The 22,238-nt window shown below is 46.2% G+C and overlaps 1 protein-coding gene across 4 annotated transcripts in view; it reads right to left on the minus strand.

The window, feature by feature from the left end:
* The window catches only part of ADD2 (adducin 2), a 111,417-nt gene continuing 95,155 nt past the window's right edge, over positions 5,977 to 22,238 (minus strand). For all 4 annotated transcript variants that reach the window (NM_001617.4, NM_017488.4, NM_001185054.2 and 1 more), the window contains 2 exons: positions 22,071 to 22,199; positions 5,977 to 12,928 (listed from right to left, as the gene is read on the minus strand). In NM_001617.4, coding sequence (NP_001608.1) covers positions 12,618 to 12,928; positions 22,071 to 22,199 — 440 coding nt within the window. In that variant the 3' untranslated portion in view covers positions 5,977 to 12,617. The remainder of the gene's footprint in view (positions 12,929 to 22,070; positions 22,200 to 22,238) is intronic.

A 22,238-nucleotide genomic window follows, 5' to 3' on the forward strand; every position in this document is an offset into this window, starting at 1 on the left:
TGTAACCCCAGCACTTTGGGAGGCCAAGGTGGGAGGATCACTTGAGCCCAGGAGTTCAAAACCAGCTTGGACAACATCGTGGGATGCTGTCTTTACAAAAAAATATAAAAAGTAGCCAGGTGTGGTGGTGTGCACCTGTGTCCCATCTACTTGGGAGGCTGAGGTGGGAGGATCGCTTGAGCCCAGGAGGTTGAGGCTGCAGTGAGCCATGGTGGTGCTACTGCATTCCAGCCTGGGTGACAGAGTGAGACTCTGTCAAAAAAAGAAAAAAAAAGAAAGAAGAAAGAAAGAAAGGAAAGAAAGAAAGAAAGAGAGAAAGAAAGAAAGAAAAGAAAGGAAGGAAAGAAAGAAAAGAAAAAAGAAAAAAAGGAGAGAGAAATTTAAATAACCCCCAAATCTTACATCTTTCCTCCTGTAGTTACCATTTCTGATGTTCTTCCTCCTTTGTGCAGATTCACATTTCCATTGGATATTTTCCTTCTACATGAAGAACATTAAGATTTATTGAAGGTGCTGCTTCTGATGATGGATTTTTTTTTCAGCTTTTGTAAATCTGAAAAAGTATTTCATCTTCACTTTTTTGTTATTGTTAAAAGCCCAGCTGTGTAATCATCTTCACTTTTGAAAGAGATTTGTACTAGGCACGGAATTCTACGTTGACAGTTTCTTGTTCAGTACTTTAAAGGTGTTATTTTATTGTCTTCTCACTTGTACTGTTTTTGAGAAGAAATCTGCTTGTACCTCCGTATTTGTTTCTGTGTGCATAGTTTTTTTATTTTGGTTGCTTTTAACATTTTCTCATTATCACTGGTTTTGAGCAATTTGTCAATGATGTGCCTTGGTGTGATTATCTTCGTTTCTTGTGCTTGGGTTCATTGAGCTTCCTGGATCTGTAGCTTTATAGTTTTAATGAAATTTGGGGAAATGTTGGCCATTATTTCTTCAATTTGTTTTTCTGCCTCCTTCTTTCAGAAACTGAAAGCACACATATATTATGCTGCTTGAAATTGTCCAAGAACTCACTGATGCTCTGTTAATTTTTAAAAATTCTCTTTCTCTCTGTGTTTCATTTTGGATAGTTTCTATTGCTATGTCTTCAAGTTCACCAACCTTTTCTTCTGCGATGTCTAATCTGCTGATAATTCCATTGAGTGTATTTTTCATCTCACACATTGTAGTTTTCATCTCCAGAAGCTTGATTTGTGTTTTTTTTTAATATCTTCCATGTCTCTACTTAACTTTTTGAACATATGGAATACACCTATAATAATACGTCTGCCAAATCCAACATCTGAATTAGTTCTAGGTCAGCTTTGATTGATATATATTTTATCTTCATTGTTAGTCACATTTTCCTGTCTCTTTGCAAGTCTGATAATCTCTTGTTAGATACCGAATGTTGTACATTTTTCTTGTTGGGTGCTACATGTTTCTGTATTCTTGTCAATAATCTTGACCTTAGTTCTGACATGCAGTTATTTAGAAACAGTTTGATCCTTTTGGGTCTTGTGTTTAAGATTTGCTAGACAGGACCAGAGCAGTCTTTATTCTAGTGCTAATTATTTCCCACTACTAAGGCAAGACAGAGTTCTCTCAAGTGTACTCCATCCAATGACCCATGAATCATGAAGTTTTTCAGTCAGCCTGGAAGGGACAGACACTATTCCTGACCCCACGTTGGTACTGGGCAGTGTTACTTCTAAGGCTTTGGGTAGGCTGTTTTGTTTTGTTTTGGTTTTAAGTCTTGGGTAGTTTCCTCACATACATATACTGATTGGTATGCATCTGAATACTCAGAGGGGCACATCTGCATCTATGTACAGTCTCTCCCTTCTGCTACCCTATCCTGCAAACTCTAGCTAGCTTCTTCTCCCAGGACTCTCAGCTCCATCTGCTTAACTGAGTTTGCCCGGATTCACCTTTCCTGTGCCATGGCCTAGAAATTCTATTAAGGCAGTAAGCTGGGACAATCATAGATAGGGGTCACTTCCTGGATTTCTCAACTCTCCGGCATCATTGTTCTTTACTGCTGGATGTGAAGTGGTTTGAAGACCATTGTTTCATATATTTTATTCATTTTTTGGTTATTGTAGGCAGGATGGTAAATTTAGTCTATTACTCCATCTTAGCTGAATTCCTATTCTTATTTTTCTCTTTAGTGATTTGGAAGATATAGAGCCTTTTAATAAGGATTATCTTTTAAATTCTTATAAACCATCTCTAAGTTCACAATTGGCTGTGGACTGAATGTTTACGCCTTCCCAAATTCATATGTTGAAATCCTAATCCCCAATGTGATTGTATTAGGAGGTGGGACCTCCTAATTTTGGAGGAAGTTAAATTATGAGCGTGGAGCCCTCATGAATCGGATTAGTGTCTTACAAAAGATGGTGAGAACTCTCTCACTATCTTTCCACTATGTGGAGATACAAGGAGAAACCGGTAATCTACAGCCTGGAAAATGGCCCTCACCAGAACCCAACCACGCTGACATCCTGATCTTGGACTTTGAGTCTCCAGAACTGTAAAAAATAAATGTTTGGTGTCTGACCCACCCCATCCCTGGCCATTTGTTATAGCAGCCTGAACTAATACAACAATTTTATATGTAATTGAGCCAATATTCTTCCAACAATTTAAAAAATAATCTATTAAATCTCTTTTGCCAATAATGAGAAACTTAGCATGTTTAACTCCCTGCTGCTCCAAATTATTATTTATTATATATATATATCCTAATAACTACTTTTAAACATTTGCATTGAGTTGGTTAAATTAATGAAAAATTAGACTTAGCAATACATTTATGTGGTTTCATTGCTTGCTACCTTATTCTAGTCAAATGCCTTTCTCCTTCTTGAGTTATTCACTTATATACATTTTCCAATCCACTGGACACGATTGTCTAATTTTTTTCAAGGGATGGGCTCGGGATCCTTCCATGTTTAGACACGTCTTTATGTTCTCATCTATGATAAATAACATTCAACCTGCTATTGATGGCTTATGCCTTGTGTTTACATATGGCAGTGTTTTTCATCACTAAAAAAAAATGTTTCTTGACTTAAAGTGCTCCCTTTTCATAACTGGCTGATCTTTTCGGTAAATGGTATATTAATAGAGATTTCCTGAACCATTCTCCTGCTTCTTGCAGTAACTCAGTGGCATTGAGGACAATGTGTTCTAGTTTCCCAGCTTGGTCTTCTTTTAAGCTACTAAATTGTGACGTGATTTTTCTCCATGCTTACTCTTAACACAGTGAGATCTCTATCCAGATTAGAGTTCGCTCCTGTCAGAGATGTGCATCCCCCTTGTGCAAAGGCACAAATGAAGAGAAAAGGAACATTTTCTATTTCTTATGGTTACATTTTGCCAGATTTGAGATCTAGTTATCTGGGTGGCAGTGGTGGAATCCACAATAACTTGGCTGAAAGTTTCTTTTTTTCATATTTATCCAGGTAGCCAGGATTAGGGGGGCCACGGTGCCCTTCCTTGATCCTATCTGGATTCTGGTGCTTCACATCCCTGACTCTTCCTCACTTCCTCGTTACTTAGATCTTGCAAATAGGGTCCTGGCAGTGTGAACCCCAGCACTTTCCTCATTGTTCTTGAAACCAGGAGGGGCCTCCACCACATTTTCCTGACGATCTCTCTGCCACCCTCACTGCTCCCTCTGAGTAGGAGCTATCTCAGCTGTAGGTCCTTCCCACTTCTTCTCCAGCCTGACTTTCCTTTCACATGTAGTGAATTGTGGGTTTCACTTCCTGCAGTTTCAGTTACCTATGGCCAACCAGGGTCCAAGAAAATTAAATGGAAAATTCCAGAAATAAACAATTCATAAGCTTTTGTTGTTGTTGTTTTTGAAATGGAGTCTTATTCTGTCACCCAGGCTGGAGTGCAGTGGTGCAATCTCAGCTCACTGCAACCTCTGCCTTCCAGGTTCAAGCAATTCTTCTGCCTCAGCCTCCCAAGTAACCTCCTGAGACTACAGGCGCCCGCCACCACACCTGTCTAATTTTTGTACTTTTAGTAGCGATGGGGTTTCACCATTTCGGTCAGGCTGGTCTCGAACTCCTGACCTCAGGTGATCCACTCGCCTCGGCCTCCCAAAGTGCTGGGATTACAGGGGTGAGCCACCGTGCCTTAAATTGCGTGTTTGTTCTGAGTAGTGTGCTGCAATATCTCATCATCCCATTTGTTCAGTGCTATCTACCTGGGAGCACAAATAACCCTTTGTCAGTGTATTCACGCTGTCTACACTACCTGCCCACTAGTCACTCAGTAGCCGTCTTGATTATCAGATTGGCTGTAACAGTATCACCATGCGTGTGTTCAAGTAATGCTTATTGTACTTTTATTACAGCACATTGTTATAATAGTTCTAATTTATTATTGTGAATCTCTTACTGCTCCTAATTTATAAACTTTCTCAGAGGTATATATGTATAGGAAAAATCATAGTGTGTCTAGGGGTCAGTGCTATTTAAGGTTTCAGGCACCCATGGGGGGGTCTTGGAAAGTATCCCCAGCAGATAAGGGGGTACTGCTGTATATGCGCTGGAGAAATTTCTTAATATCTCTGGCAGATAGAGGGCACTCTGCTCCTACATTAGTTTCCCTTTAGTCATAGTGCAAACTTAGGAAGAGTTCAACTTGTGGGTTTGCGTGACAATCTTTTTTTTTTTTTTTTTGAGACAGAGTTTCGCTCTTGTTGCCCAGGCTGGAGTGCAATGGCACGATCTTGGCTCACCGCAACCTCCGCCTCTTGGGTTCAAGCAATTCTCCTGCCTCAGCCTCCCAAGTAGCTGGGATTACAGGCACCCGCCACCACGCCCGGCAAATTTTGTGTTATAAGTAGAGACGGGGTTTCTCCATGTTGGTCAGGCTGGTCTCAGCATGATAATCTTAAACTGTAGCAAGCTTTATAAAGTGGTGTCAGCAGATTGACTATTGTCCTTGACCTGATCGATGTACACAGCTGTGAGAGCACACAGAAGTCATATTCCTTACAGGTGGATTCCTGGGTGACTGCAGCAAGGGAGAAACTGATGGCTTTGGGGCACCCGAGGGGCTGGGTTCCTTGTTTCCAAGTTTACAGGAGCTGTGGAAACTTCAGGATACCTGGATGCAAGAGGAGGAAGAGGGGCTCTACCCTTGGATACAGGCAGTCTGTGGAAAGCAGACGTGCCCATAACAGTGGGCCTGAGAGTAATGACGGGGACTGCTCTTGTGCTCAGGGCACCCGGCAGTGAGCAGCAGTGGAAAGAGCCAGGGCTTGGTTACCTACAAGACCTTAGCTGAACTTGGGCTTTACCACATATTAACCTGTGGCCCAAGAAAAGTCTCCTTACTTCATCTGTAAAGTAAGTAGTAATAACAGAATCACCCTCTGGGTTTTATGGGGGCTCAGTGGGTGCGATGCATGAGATACTTAAACAACACCTGCCACATATGTGTGGATACTCAAGGAATACTGAGCTTCCACAGTAGTTTTTGAATAAAGAGGAGCCAAAGGCTCTCTTTCCTCTTTTCTCTCTTCCTTTTTCCCCACCTAGTCTCTCCATTCTCCTTTCACCCCTTGGGGTGACTTCTTAGCCCTCTCCAAGATTCTCACTCTGGCCTGACACCCTCTTCCATTCCAGCCTATAGATCTGCCGCTGCTGCTGCCCTGCAGGGCCGTCCACATGTGTGTTTGTGCAATGCTCCTCCCCTATCCCAACCCACCTAAACTGAGCTTCCTCCACAGAGCTGTTTCAAATCCACATGGCCATTTCCTTTTCAGGAGAGTCTAGTATTTTATAACCGCCCTTCCCAAATCAGAACACAAGTAGACACATGTTCAGCTTTCCGTGTGTGAGAAATGGCCTCAAGGGTACAATTTTCTTGCGTGGTCCATGTTTCCACAGGGCCCCCTTTCTGACTTCTCCCCTGGGAGCCAGGAGAGCTGAGGAGCCGACAGAGATGGGGCACACACACTGGGAAGCCAAGCACGTTAGATTTACTAGGGTCATGTCTGCAGGTGAGGTAACAGCACACACATACAGAAATTCACGGGCAGAGATGCCACCGCAGCATCACCGTCAGACACCAAAGCAGCAGGAGGGCTCAGGAAGTGGCTTTGGAAAGTTCTCGTGAAAATCAAAGGGCAGCTTTGGTGCTCAGAGATTCAAACAGAAAACTATACAAAACCAACCCATAAATATATATATATATATAATATGTGTATATATATAAAATTGCAAAATAAAAGCCCAAGAAACTAACCACCGATCTGCACGTCAGTGGCTCAAAAAGTGTTAGCATAGAGAAAGGCAAAACCATCTGTGGGGGTGATGCATACTCAAGGGGGCCGGCATTTCAGTAGCAGAAAGAGTATTTACATGGAACCCCTATTTGAAACCTCACAATACTAGGAAAAGCTAAACACAGACAATGTATGTACAAGGGAAGACAGTAAGTACTCTTGCGTGACGATTGTCAGACACAGACATTTCACTGAAACCATCCATAGCTTTAGAGAACACTGCATTCTATCTAGACTGGGTTCCTGCTTGCCTGCACCCCAGCCAGGCGATCTCAGGCTCTGGACCGTATGTTCTCCCCCACCTGGCCTCTTCCCGGAGAGAGCAAACACTAAGATGTTGGTTGCAGCATAAATTGCAGGAATTTAAAGGTGGGGCAGTCCTTGGGTATCAATCAATCACCCACAAAGCAGGACCAACAGGTGTGAGGTGGAGTGGAAGTGTGGGGGTGGGGTTCCCTGAAATATATTCCCATTTTATAATGTGTTTCAAGTGTGGCCACTCTGCCCTTGGTCCAATTGCCATCCTCCTTCTGATTCACGTTAAAAGGGGAGATCTGGCCTTTGGGTTTTTAAACATTATACAAGATAATTTGCTGGGGGAGAGAAGAGTTTAGGGTCTTTCTACAGTTATTCTCCCACCACCCCCCAAACTCTTACGTTTTCTTTAAACTACCTAGAGATAAGCAATTTGCCGATCACAGCTGGCCTCAGTTCGGGACACAGTGGGTGAGGAGAGGAGCCCAGGACCTGACTCTACTAGAAAACTGCCAGTGCTTTCTCACACTGAGCCTCAGACTCCAGCTCTGCCTGAACCCCTTCCCTGCACCAATAATGATCATTTCTCCCCCATCTGCAGGCCCCAATTTCCCATAGCAATGACCCAACTTTTGGGAAAATCTAGAAGGTAAGTGGCACCAAACATCAATATAGCCAAACCTAATATCACCTAAGTATGAACCAATGCGACCCATTGTTTCTGTATACATAAGAACACTCCCAGCTGGAGATTCTTCCTAATTGTTCCTAAGATGAAAAGCCTACATTCTCAAGGGAATTGTCTCTATAAAAATGATGAAAGGTGTTCTCCACTAAGGGACACCCCACTGAAGTCCCCACACTGCTTCCCGGTGAGCGTGGCTGCTCATTGTGAGAGGTAAAGGGATGTTGGGCATTCCTTGGTGACCGAGCTCTACGTGTGGTCTCTCATTTATGACAGAAAGTGTGCCACATCTGAATAGGTTGGTTAGACGGGGCTTCTGGAAGTAATTACACTCCATGTACGCTTTCTTATGTTATGGTGCAAGTGGAAATGTGCACAGATAACCAATGTGCACATTTCATGAGTTTACAGTCACTACAGGCCTCTTACTTCTTGCATTAAACTATCCCTTTCAGAACAGATGTGAAACAGATGATAGGCTGCCTCACTGGCTTTTAGATTGTAGGGTGCCCTGTCCTTTCTGTGGGAGTGGAGAGCTTAAATTTAGCCTCTCCCTCATTTCTTTTCAGACTCTTTGAGTGCTAAGGTCTTAGAGTTCAACTGAGCTCCAGTGATGAGAGAGAATGTAAAAAGACCTGTTTCCTCTATGCTCAGTCAACTGCGACTGTGCCAACCAACTCTAGGGCTTCTGCTGACCTGCATGTGTAAAATGAGTAAGGGGTAAATGTTCTCTCATTTGTTCACTAGTCAAGAACTGATTACCCTTGTCCCAAAACTAGAACATAAAATTCACACAAAAGAAAAAACGTGTCAGCTGGCACAGTGGCTCATTCCTGTAATCCCAGCACTTTGGGAAGCCGAGGCAGGTGGATCACGAGGTCAGGAGTTCAAGACCAGCCTGGCCAACATGGTGAAACCCCGTCTCTACTAAAAATACAAAAATTAGCTGGGCAAGGTGGCGGGCTCCTGTAATTCCAGCTACTTGGGAGGCTGAGACAGAAGAATCGCTTGAAAAACCGGGAGGCAGAGGTTGCAGTGAGCTAAGATTGCACCACTGCACTCCAGCCTGGGCAACAAAGAGCAAAGCTCCGTCTAAAAAAAAAAAAAAAAAAAAAAAAAAAGAAAGAAAAAGAAAAAACATGTCATGCAGACCTATGCGTAGGCTGTGTGTTTACCCTCCACATACCTTCATGGAAAAATTGAAAATTATTTTTAGACTTTCAGAGGCGAATCATGCTGTTGGGCAAATGGTTCTTTCAAATCCATGGCAATCAAAGAAGTGGATTTATAGCATTTTCCCCCACACTAGCAGTAGCCCTGCTACAACAATGCCAAACATCTGAATGACTGTCTTGCCATGTCACCATGAGCAAGTGACGGTATCATCCACAGGGAATGGGATTCAAATTCAGTCTACATGGATCAGTGGCAGAGGGCAGTGCTTTACAGTGGGGTTCTTACTGTAAGAACTTACTGCTCTTCATCCAATTTCCCCCAAGTCCTTTAAAAAGAACTTATCTGTTCACAGAGGAAGAACCCTGTTTTAGTTATAGGAGAGTGGAGGGGGTCAACTGGCCAAAGTAGGACAGTTACTTGGGTTGCATGCAGGCCAGGAGGCTCTTAGGGAGTCCAGATCTGGGCTAGAAGGTGTCTCTTTCTGCAGTTTGGGAGGAAGGTCACATGGTATGGACGGTTCTCTCACACCACTGTTGGGTGCAGCCAACACTACGCAAGGAGCCGTTGGAGCCAAGCCTGTCTCTGCGAAACCACTAATCCTTCTTGTCCTCTCTCCTCCTGCCTGCCTTGCGATGGAAATAAGCTCAGAAACCTCTCCACTTCCCAGCTCAGCCAGCCACAGAGCAGCACATTGGTTCAAATGTTACCCTTTTCTCTGGCACATCCAAGCACAGTAGCTCAACCAGACATGAACCTACTGCCCACCAAATCTGAGCTCTTGAATACACATTTTCTCCAGTCAGATATTGGTCAAAGTTTTCAGCCAACTTTTATCCACAGCCAAAGAAAATGGCCTTTCCTTTCTAATAGCCTGTAGATTTGTTTGGACCACATGTCTGTTTCTGTAGCATTTGGTGCATGTCCTCAAGCCTGGAGCTAAATGTGCCACATTCTGTGCAAGGGAAGAAGAAATGGCAGGATGGCTGGACACCTCTCCCAGCAATTCTACACCAAGACAAAATAAAACTGGAAACATTAGCTCTTTGAATGCTCCCCTCTCCTTGTTGAAAATCCCTCTTAAGGTGCTTTATCCAAAGACTTTTATGGAAATAAATTTTGTGTTGGAAACTCACTATCTGCTGTAGAGGAAACATCGTGTAAAGCAGGCCATCAACTATGTTTTAGTATTGACATTTCAAAAAGGCCTCATAGCTCCCATGCCACCATCCCACGCCCATCCAGTCCACAGTCTCCATTCAGCCACCAAAGGGATTTTCCTAAAATGCAATTCTGATCATGACTCTATCCTGATTTAAAGGCTCCAGTGGCTCCAAACCCCTTCCATGACAAGTCTAGCTCCTCCACACTTCCTACCAGTTTCCTTAGGATTCAGCCCTGCCTACCTATGAAGGGACCCCTCAACCCCTGAGCTTCCACATCATGCTCTGGCAATGCCACGTTGCTCAGCGGAACCCATCATGGCATTTCATGCGTCCACACCTTTGCACATTCTTCCCTCATTGTGGCATGCCCTGCCAATCCTTTCATTCTACTGGAAATTTACTCTTTGTTTTAAAACCTTAGCAGCCATTGCTTCTCTCAGGGTTTCTCTGGTCCCCAAGATAGTTAATTGATGCTTTCTTATGCCACCTTGGTACCCTTGCCTGTTTTGCAATTTGTCTATACACCTCCTATGCTCATGAACTTCTTGAGGGCAGGAACTATGCCTATCCTCATGCCTGGCCCTTGACCCAAGCTCAATGCATGTTTTTGGAATGCATGAGGAATGAACCAACTGACAGGTTCATCTATCAATAGAAAGTGGGCCCATGGCATAAATTCCCAGAATAATGCTGCAGCAAGACTCCACCCAATGAGGCCTAAGTGAGGCCTCATTGTCAAGGGAATAGAGTGTGTTGAATGCAGAGGCAATCAACATCACCCCCGAAGTAGAACAACTCGCACACAAAAGGCTGCATCAGAGGTCGTGTTCACCATTCTCACAACATCGTTTGCCACTTATTATTCTAGTCATAATGATGGCTCTCTTTCAACGTCAGCATAATGCCTGGTGCTCAGTGGATCCTTAACAAATACCATGTAAGGATAAATGAATAAGTGTGAAATCTACTTTTTAAAAGAAGGCATCAAGGGATTGGCTTTTAAAGGCATTTCCCATATGACAGATTTTTCTGAGGCATGAGTGGGTTGTCCCTCCTAAAATTTGACCCAATCAGGAAGTAGAACAGAGATGGAGCCTGGGGTAGCAGTTAGGAATCTGCACTAGAGAGACACAGTGTCAGGTTTACCTTGGTCCTAGGTCAGTTTCCTTCCTTCTCAAGAAATAGCCAACTATGGATGGTATTTCCCGCCCCAACCAGAAGGCTCTTGCCTCTCCTTTGTCAGAGGCACACAGTAGCATCACCACAGTCCACATTGACCAGGAACTTCACGTGCAGTGATGAGGATGAGCACAGGGTGTTCCCTACCTTTGCTTCACGTGCTAACATTATGCAATGGAGAACAGTCATAGAGACAAATCCTGGATGAAAACCACCACCCCTGGGGATTAAAGTTGTCTGTTCACCATAGCTGTTAAGAGCAAGGGCTCTGGACTCAGACTGACCTGGATTCAAATCCAGGATCCAGATCTTTCTAGCCAAGTCAGCTGGGACAAGTCAATTATCATTTTAGGGGGTCAATTTCCTCACCCACAAAATGGGAATGATCTTACCCCCCTCAAAGGATTACTGTGAGGGTTAAAGAATGTAATGTATGTGAAGCCTGCACAGTGTCTATAGATAGCAAGTGCTCAAAAGTGGAAAACTATGATTAAGAACTTTCAAAAATATTTTCACGATAGTCAGATCAAAAGGAAAAATATTCTTTCAAGACACGGTGCTTTCAAGAGAATGGATTGTCTAATTTTTAGGAGCCAACAAATGCTCATTAATCAATGCCCCACGGAAGAACATGAGAAGACAGTGTTGGCATTTAAAACAATAACTGTGGCCATTACCAGGCCCCAGGATGGACAGATAGGGACAAGGACAGGGATACCCAGCATTTCTCTGAGAGCTGGTGCAAGAGGATTAATCCTGAAGGGCTCATTTCTGATTCTCCTCTGCTGGACAAAGAATGACTGAGTTGGAACCTCAGAGGGTGCAAGTCAAGGTGCCAAGAGTAAGATGCCAGTTTCGGTCTGTAAGCAAGTGTTTCTGGGGGTGAGGGAAGGTCAGGGGAAACCTGACCACTGGACAGGAGTGAGGCAGGTACAGTGCATTGCTCCAGGTGTCATGCAAAGCTAGAAAGTCAGCATTTCCTCTGTTGTTTTGATCCTCCTTATACAACCCAAAGCCAACAGAGGATTTCAACTTCCCCAAATTTCTGCCCTGAGCATTAAACAACTTTTTCCTATGCTAAATTTGGTTTTAGTTTTGAAGTGCCTGAGATGCACAATTCAAAGGGGTCAAGTTCCTGGCCTCTTATGTTGATGAAACCATCCCCAATCCTCAGCTTACATGGCTTGCCCCTATGCCTACCACCTCTTATAGCTCTTCCATCCATCATTCAAGAGGTTCCATGAAGAAAGCTCAGGGTTAATGTTTGGGGTAGTACAAGCTAAGCCATCAGCCCTTGGGAACAAAGATTACTTTCTGTTGGAGGGGTCAATTTGGCTAGTCACTTTGAGCAGCAGGGCAGGGACCCAAAGTGGAAAAGAGAAGAGATTTTTAAATGTAGAGATAGCTCCATCCACAGGAGATTGGATTCCTGGGAAGAAATGGACCTTACTCAGGGGAAGCCTTGACCTCTGATTTAGTCTGAGCCTGTGAGAGCTCACGGCCCATTTCTGGCCTTCTTGCCCTAGGCTCAGATTGGTGGACAGCATCCAAACAAAGGCAGCCCACAACTAGGCAGTGTTGTGTAGTAGAAGGAGCACTGGACTGGAAGTCAGGAGACCTGAATTCGAGTGCAGGCTCTGCCGCTAACTAGCTGTGTGACCTTGGGCAAGTCACCTGATTTCTCTTGGGCAACTGTAAAACGAAGGGTTGGTCGGGTGATCTCTAAGTTCCCCTTCCGAATGTGGTCCAGGGTCCTACTCTATCCCTCCTTAGCCCTGTGCTTGCAGGGACAGAGATGGGAGAAGGGAAGGGGAGGAGAGAGAGGAGGCAGGAGGGAGCCCAAGGGTGTCATGAATCAGGACTCCACTTTCTCCTTCTTTTTGCTCTTTTTCAGGAAGGAGGGGGTTCGGAATTTCTTTTTCTTCTTTGAGGGAGACTTGGAAGGTGAGCCCTCTGGGGACATGGGGCCGCTGGTGACCGACTCGGTTTTGTCCTTAGAGGTATCAACATCCGTGTCAGCACTGGTGGTCATCTGGCTCAGGCCTTTGCTGAGGATTTCCTCTGCCGTCTGCTCCTCCTCCCTCCCGTTGACCACCACCCCTTCCGGCTGGGTTGTTTCGGGCTCTGTGGTGGCGGCTTTGCTTGTTTCTGTCTTCTTAGTACCTTCTAGAAAAAGATCAAAAGATATGACCTGTAAGATTTCATTCAGGTGACAGCTTCCACCTGGGGCTAACAGAACCATTTCTAGGGAATTCTATAAAATCAATCCAGAGCGAGGGGAGGGCCAGCCTGATGTTGAGGGATGGCTACCAGAGACAGATGGAAGGACTGGGTTCTGATCTGCACCTTCCATGTGGCCTGTCCTGGGAACACCCCCTTGCAGGCTGGCAGCTCTGGGCTCTTGTCTATGAATTTAGATGGATATTAATGTCTGAAGTGGCAGGAGGCCCGGCTGGGGTCCAGCTCAGAGTTTTTCTAGGCAAGAAAGAAGAAACAGACACAGAGAAAGGAGAAGGCGTGAGGTGTACAGCTTGGTGGAGACATCTAAGCATTGCTGTAACCAGTTTAGTTTCACCAATAAAAACATGGAAATTACATGTCCTCAAACCCATTTCATTTTCTACACCAGTGAGGAACTCCAAGAAATATGGAGAATATCTTCCCAGTAGGCAGAGGGAGAGTGGAATTCCTTATATAACACAGACCCCATATTTCCAAGACATGTTAGTCAAAAGGGGAAGACCCCTGGTCAGCCCTTTCTAGCAGCCACTGGGGCCCCCAGGTCTTTATTCCACCTGGGAATCTGTCGGGATCGCGGGAATGTTCAAGGCCAGAGTTACTCAGGCCCCAGAAACCAAACCCTCCTGCCACCCTTTCTCCCCCTCCCCACTCTCACTCAACCTTGCTTCCACACAACCTTTCAGATGCCTGGATGGGGTGAGAGTCAGGGAGATTGTAAAACCACAGACTGAAAAGTAGAAAGCAAGGTAAATATTATCTGATGCCTCTCCTCCCCACTGCACAGTTAAGAAGGCTGAAGAACACAGTACCATGGTGGGCAGACCTCGGCTTACCAACTTCCGGTTCAGCTTCTTCTCACGACGGGAACTGAAAGGAGTGTGTGTGGGTGAGCACGTGTGAGTGTGTACAAGTGTGTGTGAGTGTGCAAGTGTGTGTGTGGGTGTGTGAGGGTGTGCAAGTGTGAGTGGGCAGGTTGTGTGTGGTGTAAGTGTGTAAGTTTGAGTATGCAAGTGAGATTGTTTGCCATGAGTGTGTCTGTGTGTGTGGTGTGAGCATGTGCGAACCAGTGTGTGTGACAGTGAGTGGTATATGAGTGTGGGAGTGAGCGTTTACAAATGTGTTTGTGTAAGTGTGTGTGAGTGCACATGAGCATATGCGAGGGTGTGAATGTGTGCGAGTGAGTGTGTGACACACCTGTGTGGTGTGTGTGTGATGGGCACATATGAATGCAGTGTGTGTGTTGCCACATCACAAGAAGGAACCCGGCATGCTGAGGTGTATGGAATCGTGGGTGATGTGGAAGGTATAGTCAGTGTTACAGAGGGAGCGAGTGAAGGACTCAGTTTTAGGAGAAGCCTGGGGTCTTAACAGGGGTGAAGTCTGGGGAAGTGCACGGTTACATGGAGGATGGGACAGAGTGGGGTAACTTGTGGACAGTTAAAGTGGACTAGTGAACCACCTGGGCCAGATCTCCCTGTAACAAAGTCTTTGCAACTCCTGACACTGCTGGGCAAGTCAAAGTGCCCCCTCCAGACCACTGCGGAGCACCAGCTCCCTCTTGGTATCAAAGACTTTGGCCACTGCTCCCAGTCTTCCCACTGCCCAGCCCATGTCCTGTCATCCTCATCCAGTGTCCCATCCCGTCCCGCCACGTAATACTGTGGCCATCACTTGGCAGTACTCTTGAGTGCCATAAACCAGGCTGGACACAACCATCTCTCTGTCCACTCTCCTATTCCCACTTCGCCTGCTTCCTGCCATACCAAGCTGCTGGTCCTGGACCTCTCACTGTCATCCCAGCCCATTCCCCTCTGGAAGGCCCTTCTCTCTCCTCTGTGTCCCCAGCCTTCACTCCATATAATGAATCACCTTGAGTGTTACTTCTTCCTTCAAGTCTCTCCTGATCCTCGTTCCCACTTCCAGGTAGAGTTTATCACTCCTTCCTTTCTGCCTCTGCTATCTAAACTTCCATCACAGCATCTGCAAAACGATCACACTTGTTTTTTTGTTTTTTTTTTTTTCCCGAAACAGTCCTGCTCTGTCGCTTAGAGCTGGAGTGCAATGGTGGAATCTCGGCTCACTGCAATCTCCACCTCCTAGGTTCAAGCAATTCTCCTGCCTCAGCCTCCCAAGTAGCTGGGATTACAGGTGCCCACTACCAAGCCCAGCTAATTTTTGTATTTTTAGTAGAGATGGGGTTTCACCATGTTGGCCAGGATGGTCTCGAACTCCTGACCTCGTGATCCGCCCACCTTGGCCTCCCAAAGTGCTGGGATTACAGGCGTGAGCCACTGCATCCAGCCCACACTTGTTTTTTATGCCTATCTCCTCCCCCTTCTACACTGAAATGAATTAGGGCAAAATTGTGTCTAATGACCTATGTCACTAGCTCACAGAAGGCACTCAGAAAAGGTCTGTGGAATCCATGAATGGTTGAAGGCATGAGCAAATAAATGAATATGTGAATGGATTTATTCTAACCAAGCCAATATCATCACCTAATCTTTTCTTATCTATCCCAGCCTGAGCCTTCTAAGCTGAACTGGATCCACTCATGTAAATGAACACCAGCCCTGAGTGCTGGCCTTTGTCTCCTGTACCTATGCCCTGGTCTTCCCTCTCATCTTCCTGGGCTCTCCAGGGCTCTGCAACTTCAAACTAGACCCTCACTGCAGGGCCTTCACTTGGATGATACATTAGGATGCATTTCTCAAGACTGACCCTTGGCGCTCTCCTCTAAGATGGTTGGGGCACTTGCCTTCTAGCTCCGTGAAGACAACTATGGATAAGAGGGGCTCCCACTTTCTGTCCAAGTGTCATTTCCTGCCTGGTGGCAATGAGTATCTTCACTCCAATGGCCTCCTTCAACCATGCCCCTCATCCATGTCCCTTTGCCCATACCTGCCCTGCTGTCAACCTAAGCAACAGCCTCAGCCCCTGGTGTGTGTCTGGTTTAGGAGAGCAACACCCAAGGTTCTTCTCACCATGTAGAAAGTGGGGGCCACAGATGGTGCATCTGCCATGATTCAGAGAGGTTCCACATCATGAATTGTTTGAGGAGTCATAGCAAATGGAAAATGGGGCTTGGAGGAGCCAGGTTCCCAACTAAGGTCACCACTCCCTCAACTATAGAGTCAGAGACCACTGGAGGGTTCCACTGGCCAAGAGAAGGGACAGGGCTCCAGAAATCAACATGTGTTAGGCCCCTGGAAAGTACTGAGGACAGGCTCTGATAGCCTAGACCCCTCCTCTGTCAACAGGCTGAAAACCAGGCTGGGAGAGGCCCCAGGAACTAGGGTCAGATGGGAACTCACCTTCTAGCCTCTTCTAAGAAGAACCTTTGACTTTATCTCCTGAATGGTGGGAACCTGGAGCTCTGGGAATAGGGGATATTGTGGGGGTGAGTAGAGTGGGGCAGAAGCTGGAAAATGGGGGCTCTGTCCAAGGATGGTGACTGGAAAGCTGGGGGAGAGACAGGAGGCAATGGGAGAACAGGTGACGGGAACGAGACTGGACTCTGAAGTCAGGGCCCACACCCAGACCCTGTGGGTTGGGAGACAAAGGACTAAAAGGCTGCTAGAGGCTGGAGGAGGAGGGGGGCTTCTGTGGGAGGCGCAGAGCTGGTTTGGACACACTGCCTCTCCAACTTGATTTCTCACTAGCCCACAGCCTCCAACCACTGGCTGTGTCTTGGCCACCAATGAACATGTGGTGGTTAATTTTAATGTGTCAGCTTGACTGGGTAAGGGATGCCCAGATAGTTGATAAAACAATATTTCTGGGTGTGTCTGTGAGGGTGTTTCCAGAAGAGATTCGCTTTTTGGTGGGGGGATGGAATTTCGCTCTTGTCACCCAGGCTGGAGTGTAATGGTGCAATAACTCACTGCAACCTCTGCCTCCCGGGTTCAAGTGATTGTCCTGCCTCAGCCTCCCGAGTAGCTGGGATTACAGGCGCATGTCACCACGCCCAGCAAATTTTTGTATTTTTAGTAGAGACAGGGTTTCACCATGTTGGCCAGGCTGATCTCAAACTCCGGACCTCAGGCGATCCACCAGCCTCAGCCTCCCAAAGTGCTGGGATTACAGGTGTGAGCCACCATGCCCGTCCAGGATTAGCATTTGAATCAGTAGTCGGAATATAGAAGATCTGCCCTCACCAACATGGTTGGACACCATCCAATCTGTTTAGGGCCCTCTCACATAGAACAAAAAGGTGGAGGAAGGGCAAATTCTCTCTGTTCTTGAGCCGCGACACCCATCTTCTCCTGCCCTGAAGCTTAGAGCTCCTGGTTCTCAGGCCTCAGACTCAGACTGAGTTACACCAGTGGCTTTCCTGTTCTAGAGCCTGGAGACAACATACTCTTCAGCCTCCATAATCACATGAGGCAATTCCCCTAGGAAGTCTCCTCTTATCTCTCTATATATCCCCTTGGTTCTGTTTCTCTGGAGAACTCTAATACAGTCCCCTTCCAGGAATGCCAGCTCCCCCAGCTTCCTAGGCACCACCCCTGCACAGCCCATGCCACTCCTGTCTGCCGCTCCAAGCATGTACCTATCCAAGGTCTGGCTCAAGCCACACTGCATCTGGACAGCCTCCCCTGACATTGGACAATGAGCTCGCCTTCCTGTAAACCCACTGCTCACATATTCATTTTACACTTGCATGTGTCATTTATCTTTTTTTCTTTTGAGAGTCTATTCATCACCCAAGTACACTGTTTATGACAGAAACTCTTTTACGTCTCTAACAATCATCATGCAGCTCAGTGACAACATGTTCAAGCCATGTTTACTGCTGCTGACGTCTGCCAAGTGAGGTCAGATGAAGGCTCAACAGAGGATGCCTTGTATCAGCTCAGCAGCTGGGCTCTTCTGTGGCCGTGCACTGGGGTAAAGACATGGAGAAGGAATATGGACCTTGCATAATTGAAGGAGCAAGGCTGCCTTTCCTTCTCTTGCCTGCTGACATCTCAGGCTCAAACACATGACCTCTTGCCTCAAGCCCCCCAGCTTTGAGAAGCCCTCTCTTTGCAGCAGGGAAGACACCAGTGGAGGGCCTAGAAACAGGATTTGCTGACGCGCTTCTGAACACAAGGTCAATCAGATGGATCCTGACCTACATTCCAAATGCAAGGAGAACTGGTCACTGCCATGTACAGCTTTTACTTTTCTCTTGAAAAGGCAGTGCCACACCATTGCATAGAGAGGTCATAGAGAGATTCATTAAAGACCTTGAAAAAAAACATGTCCTATGTTGACACAAGGGCTGGGCACTCATGCAGCAACAGTCAAGAAGGCCCACGGGTGCTCAAAGAACAGAGCAGAGGGGAAGAAGAGCAACAAGCTGAGCTGCCCATGGCCGACCATTGAGCTGGATGCTGGCCACGCAGAGAGGTTTGCAACAGAGTTTCTGTCTGGGTTTAAATTCTCAAACATCCGTGTCTGAAAGAATCACCCAGAGAGCTTGTGAAAATGCATCTTCTTTAGTGTTGTCCTCACAATAAACTGAAACAGAAGGTGGACCAAGAAATAGAGATTTTTAACAAGTCCCCAGGTAATTCTGATACAAAAGGCCCATTAGCCACACATTGAGAAACATAAGTTTAGAATGCTATGCTTTATCCGACGTTTACTTACCCCCAAAAACTGAGAGTACCACTGATAAAAAAGAAAGTAGAGCTTCTCATAAATGGATGCAGTGGACTCTGTGACTCCCATCCACTCACCACAGCTAGGATACAAATGTTCCTCTAAGTACCCAAATATACTTTCAGTATCTGGTAGAGCTTGTGTGCAAATATGACCCCAATGAGCTATCCCTCCGGGTATCCACACTGAATCTGGGCTGGCCCTGTGGCTGGCAAAACCAATAGAATGCAGTGGAAGATCCACAAAGCAGGCCTCAGGCCAAAGACTTAAGAAGGCCTAGCAACTTCTATTTTCACAGTTTTGGGAGCCTTATACCACCATGTATAAAGTCCAACAACCCTGATGGAAAAACATGTAGAGAGGCCGCATGGGTGGGCCCTGAGACCACATAGAGGGAGAGAGAGACAGACAGAGAGACAGACAGACAGACAGACACCCAGCCATCTCAGTGTCCCAGCTGAGCCCAGCCTTCTAGCTGCCCCTGCTAAGGTACCAGGCATGTAAGTGCACCATCTTGGAAGTTCCAGCTTAGTCAAGCTCCCTACTGACTGGAGCCCTCCGCAGATATCACATCAATTAGAAATCATCCAGCTAAGCCCCAACAACCCCAGTCAACCCACAAAAGAACTAATTTCCGTAATACTAGTTCTTATTCTATACCATGACTTAAATCAAATATTATTGCTGCATCACAAACCACCCTAAAACTTAGTGGCTTAAAACATCAAGTACTGTATTAGCTCTCACAATTTGGAGAACATGGTAGATAAAAAGGACTAACTTATGTAAAGCATATTACAAAGTACTTTTATATTCAGTAGCTCATTTTATCCTGACAACATGCTGTGGGTTAGGAAAGGCAGATTCATGTTATTCCCATCCAGCAGTGTTTTTAAATGACTTGTTTGAGATGGCTAGATTAGTTAGTGGCAGAGCTGATCATGTGATCATGTGATGTCAAATACAGGGCTATTTCTTTGCAGGCGTAGCCAGTTGCCCTGAGGGTTCAGCAGAGGATAAGGTGAGCTGGGACAAGGGTCTGACAGGAGCTAAAGAGAAGGTGATAGCACAGATGACCAGATGCAAAGGCTCTCTCTGATGGCCAGCCTTCAGAGAGGCTGATGGGGTAGGAGTCAGGTAGACAGATGAGGAGTGACACTGAGGCGACTCAGCATAAGAGAATTGAGGACATGGTGGCAAATGGTTGGAAAAAGCCATCCCTGATCTGATGGGTGGGCTAGATGTGAAAGAGCAGAGACTTGCATGGTGGGTCAGTTCTGTCTGCCCAGGAGTCCAGCAAGCCTGTGAGCAGCCTGGCCAAGGCTTCACACCGGGCTCCCCACCCAACTACAGCTTGTGTCCTCGTCATGCAGGGTCTGCTCCAAGGTGCCATGCTCCCTAGCTCTGTCTGTTATAGGAAGTGGGTTATGGGAAGTATCTTCAAGACAACTCTTCTAACAACTCAACCGTGGGCCCCTCCAGGGGAAGAATGAAGAATCCTGCTATAGGGTGTAAAATGTCAGGCAGTGGGTAAACAGCTACCCCACCCATTGCATGCCCTTCCTGGCCCTTGTCCCACTCCTCCATGAGCCTCCTCTCCAGCCCTGGATTTCCTTCCTGCAGCTGGAACACATGTCCTGAAGACCCTAGCAGACCAGGCCCTCTATGCATCCTTATAAGGCAGTTCAGGCTCTAGCCCAAAACCTAGATGAGGCCACAGGTTCCTTCAAGGTGCCTGTGCATTAGGAAGAGGGGTAGGAGTGAGCGCCTGAGAGCCGTAAGCACTCTACCACCGGGAGTGCCCGAGAGTTGGCCCTACTGCCTGCAAACTCTTGGGAGCTTGTTGCTTCTGGGCGTGTGTGCCTGTGTGTTTGTGTATGTGTGTGGCCTATGTGTGTATATCCACATCTCATGTAGAGAAGCCTAATCCATGCATAGTGCATGTGGAATTGGCCATGAATTTTACAGCCAGGAAACTTCCCAAAGGCAGAGTTGTGAGTCGCAAAAGAAAAATGTGGGGAGAAATCTATTTCTTTTGAAAAAAAAAATCCTCCCTCCCCCATTGCAAGGGTTGCAGTGAGTTAGTAAACAGCCTCTCTATACTTACTACAGAGACAAGTATTCAGAATCGGAGGAAACTCCTTTGATGAAGGCACAAATGGGAAGAGAAAGGAAGACATTGTGGAGACAGGTTGACAACACCACAGTGAGACACAATGAACACAACAGTCGGGGTACATCCACTTGGGGCTCTGGCCTCAAGCAGACGGGTTTCTTCTGGCAACACTGGGCCTGCACAGGAGGCAATAGTTTGCTTGTGGAGGGAGCTCAGGGTTGGGGGATTCTATCAGAATCCACACGTGTGGCCGTTCTACTCCAGAGGGAGAAGATTCCAATAGGCCACCAGATTTCTGCTCTCTGGGTAGCAGGACAGCTCTGTCTGGTGGGGGTCTCCGGGGACCTGGGATGGAGTGTGCATGCCCTGGAGTGATTCCAGGAGCTCAGTAAAGATACTTTTATGATTTAGGTGGCCAGGAACTATAATTCTTATCCACTTTATGTATACTATTAACCATAACCGTAATTGCATCTTAAATTATTTAAGTCCTGCTTTTACTCTTTCAAAGTATGTTTTCACCTACACTTCCCTTATACATATATAAAAAGGGACTATATGAGTAGCCCCATCTGACAGTCAACAAAACTGAGGCTCAGAGATGCTGATTTGCTAAAATTAGCTGTTATTACTAGTTAGCAGTTCAGTTGGGCCTCGAACTCCGTTCTTTAAGCTAGTAGCTCTCTATTGAAGCTGTTTTCAACCTGGAACACACTTTAGATTCCCCTGGAGAGACGTGAAAACTCCAGGCTGTACTCCTAAACCCACCTGACTCCAGACTTTTCTGAGTTTTCCTTAACTCAGAAAAGCTGGGGATGGGATCCAAGAATCAAGACGGTTAAAGCTCCGCAAGTGATTCCAATGTGCGGTTAAGGTTGAGTATGACATCATTACCCTCACCTGGGAAATTCAGCATCTTAGGCCACATCCCAGACTTACTAAGTAGAATCTTCAGTTTCACAAGATCCCCAGGTGGTACCTATACACGTTAAGGTCTGAGAAAGGGGCTAGTGCATCTGGAAAGGCCTAACAGCCCCGGCCATGTCTGAGTTGGGGCAAGGAGCCGGGGGCCAGCCAGTAACTTATTCTTCATTGCTTATACTGGGTTTAAGCTGCAAGGTGTAGTGTTATAGCTTGTGAGTGAAACAACATGAAACTTGATAACCCCTATTTCTGATTTCCTAGAAATAGCAGAGGGGAAAGATTTTCAGATTAGGGGCAACACGAGTGGAAGGCAGGGCACCTTCCCAGCCTGCAGATGCACCCCTCTCCCTCCCTCCCAGCCTACTCAGCTGGACTCACCCTCTAAAGACTTGGAAGGAGAGACTAAAGGGCTCTTTGTCTCTGCCTCCTTCGCTGGGCTCTGCACTGGAGAAGCAGGTGCAGACTTTGCAGGTGAGCCAGGCTCTTCTGGGGCAGTTTCTTTCTCTCCTGAAAAAACAGAAAAACACCTCAGGATAGAGGTCAAAT

The sequence above is a fragment of the Homo sapiens genome, chromosome 2 (genome assembly GCF_000001405.40).
Source record: "Homo sapiens chromosome 2, GRCh38.p14 Primary Assembly".
Lineage (NCBI taxonomy): Eukaryota > Metazoa > Chordata > Mammalia > Primates > Hominidae > Homo > Homo sapiens.